This window comes from Homo sapiens, chromosome 21, assembly GCF_000001405.40.
Source record: "Homo sapiens chromosome 21, GRCh38.p14 Primary Assembly".
In the NCBI taxonomy this organism is placed as follows: domain Eukaryota; kingdom Metazoa; phylum Chordata; class Mammalia; order Primates; family Hominidae; genus Homo; species Homo sapiens.
The window spans coordinates 40,867,600-40,870,851 of NC_000021.9; the positions used below are offsets into that span (position 1 = coordinate 40,867,600).

The 3,252-nt window shown below is 39.2% G+C and overlaps 1 annotated feature.

Moving 5' to 3' along the window:
• Window positions 1,749-2,250: an enhancer, noted in NCBI's record as "NANOG hESC enhancer chr21:42241274-42241775 (GRCh37/hg19 assembly coordinates)". NCBI's record gives its function as "activates a minimal SCP1, AML or CMV promoter by ChIP-STARR-seq in primed H9 embryonic stem cells {active_cell/tissue: H9 hESC(primed)}" and the evidence as "EXISTENCE:reporter gene assay evidence [ECO:0000049][PMID:30033119]".

Sequence of the window (3,252 nt, forward strand, 5' to 3'; positions counted from 1 at the left end):
TTGGGCCCCAATTATCTTTATCCCAGCCCACTTGTAGGGTAGAGATTCTATGCCAGGTGAAGCAAGCTAAGAATACCAGAGGCTATCACCCCATTTAATGCTCCATGCATAGATCAGGGGTATAGAAATAGGCCTCTATTCCTACTTTCAACTTAAGAGCAGATTATATTTCTGAGTTTTCTATTCTGCTCCATTGGTCTATGTGTCTGTCTTTGTACCAGCACCATTCTGTTTTGGTTACGGTAGCTTTTTTGTTTGTTTGTTTTTTTGAGACAGAGTCTTGCTCTGTCACCCAGGCTGAAGTGTGGTGCCGTGATCTCAGCTCACTGCAACCTCTGCCTCTCAGACTCAAGCGATTTTCCCACCTCAGCCTTCCAAGTAGCTGAGACTACAGGTGCCTGCCACCATGTCCAGCTAATTTTTGTGATTTTTGGTAGAGGCTAGGTTTCACCATGTTGGCCAGGTTAGTCTCCAACTCCTGAATTCAAGTGATCTGCCTACCTTGGCCTCCCAAAGTGCTGAGGTTACAGGCGTGAGCCACCACACCTGGCCTACTGTAGCTTTATAGTATAGTTTGAAGTTGGGCAGTGTGATGCCTCTGGCTTTGTTCTTTTTGCTTAGGATTGCATTGCCTATTCGAGCTCTTTTTTGAATTTTAGAATAATTTTTCCTAATTCTGTGAGGAATACTGTTGGTAGTTTGATAAGAATAGTGTTGAATCTGTAAATTGCTTTGGGCAGTATGGCCATTTTAATGGTATTGATTCTTCCAACCTATAAGCATGAAATATTTTTATATTTATTTGTTTTGTTTATGATTTATTTCATTGGGGTTTTATAGTTCTCTTTGTAGAGATTTTTTACCTCCTTGATTTGCTGTATTCCTAGGTATTTTGTTTTCTTTGTGGCTATGGTAAATGGGACTGTGTTCTTTATATGACTCTCACCCTAGGTATCATTGGTGTATAGAAATGCTACTGATTTGCACATTGATTTTGTATCCTGAAGCCTTGCTAAAATTTTTTATCAGTTCTCATTGCCTTTTGGTGGAGTCTTTAGGGTTTTCTAAGTATGGGATCATGTTGTTAGTGAAGAGAGATAGTTTGAGTTCTTCCTTTCCTATTTGGATGCCTTTTATTTTTGTCTCTTGCCTGATAGCTCTGGTTAAGACTTCCACTGCTATGTTGATTAGGAGTGGTGGGAGAGGCCATCCTTGTCTTGTTCTGGTTCTCAAGGGGGATGATTCCAGCTTGTGCTCATTCAGTATGAGGTTGGCAGTGGGTTTGTCATAGACGGCTCTTATTATTTTGAAAGCTACACACCTACAACTATCTGATCTTTGACAAGGCTGACTAAAACAAGCAATAGGGAAAGAACTCCTTGTTCAATAAATGGTGCTGGGATAACTGGCTAGCCACAAGCAAAAGAATGAAATTAGACCCTTACCTTTCACCATATACAAAAATTAACTCAAGACAGATTAAAGATTTACATGTATGACCTCAAATTACAAAAATCTTAGAAGAAAACCTAGGAAATACCCTTCTTAACATTGGCCTTAGCAAATAATTTTTGGCTAAGTCTTCAAAAGCAATTACAAAAAAAAAATTTTAACAGGTGGGACCTAATTAAACTAACAAACTTCTGCACAGCAAAAGAAACTATCATCAGAGTAAATAGACAACCTATAGAATGGGAGAAAATTTTTGCAAACTATGCATCTGACAGATGACTAATATCTAGCATCTATAAGGAACTTAAACAAATTGACAAGAAAAAAACAACCCCATTAAAAAATGGGCAAAAGACATGAGGAGACACTTCTCAAAAGAAGACATACAAGTGGCCATCAAACATGTGAAAAAATGCACATCATCACTAATCGTCAGAGAAATGCAAATCAAAAGCACAATGTGATACCATCTCACACCAGTCAGAATGGCTATTGTCAAAACATAAAAAAGCAACAGATGCTGACAAAGACGCAGAGAAAAGAGAATGCTTATTTAGTGTTTGTGGGAATGTAAATTAGTTCAGCCACTGTGGAAAGCAGTCTGGAGATTTCTCAAAGAACTTAAAACAGAGCTACCATTCAGCCCAGCAATCCCATTACTGGGTATATACCCAAAGGGAAACAGATAATTATAACAAAAAGACACGTGCATTCATATGTTTATCACCACCCTATTCACAATAACAAAGACATGGAATTAACCTAGGTGCCCATCAATGGTGAATTGGATAAAGAAAATGTGGTACATATATACCATGAATACTATGCAGCCATAAAAAAGAATGAAATCATGTCCTTTGTAGCAGCATGGATGGAGATGAAGGACATAACCCTAAGTGAAATAACACAGAAACAGAAACCAAATACCACATGTTCTCACTTATATGTGGGAGCTAAACATTGAGCACACATGGACATTAACATAGGAACAATAGCCACTGCAGGCTACTTGAAGCGGGAGGGAGGGAGTGCACATGGGTTGAAAAACTTCCTATTAGATGCTATGTTCACTATCTATGGACAATGTACCCATGTAACCAACCTGCACGTGTACCCCCTGTATCTAAAAGAGAAGTTGAAATATATATAAAATCTCTTCCCAAGAGAGAGACAGTCTATAGAAACAGAGAACTCTGTAGCTGTCCCTAACAGGACTGTCTTTATTTGGAACAGAGCATAGGAAAGTCCAAGCCAAAGGACATTGTGAAAAAACAATGGAGATTGTGGTGGTAAACAATTAACAGAAGGCTTATAGCTTCATGATATCAATATGTGAAATAGGAGAGAAGCTAGAAGTTTATCAGAAAGAACCATGGGGAGAATCAGTTAAGAAGAGTCATCTGGAGTCAGAGAAAGCCTCAAAAACTACCTCTGCAAAAGGGCCTGATTTTAATTGGATTAGAAGGTGGGGCAATGTATGCCCCAGGGCAGTGCAAAAAACAATAGTGCAATCAGCTAGCAATAAGTGGAAGATAATAGTTGAGTGTGATCTCAACACCGTGAAAACAGCCCAAAGCTTAATGGGGAGATCACACGAAGAGATTGGTCACAGAAAGCCTGGCTAAAACTGTTGTCATGCATGTCCAAGTCAGTACCCTGTGAGGAGCAATATCAAAGGTGACACACTGCAGAGGAAACAGACTTCACTAAACTGGTCCAGCCAAGTCACTAGTCACTAAACAGATAAAAAAACAAATAACACCAACAAGCCTCAGGGGAGGGAGGTTGGTGTCGAAAGCT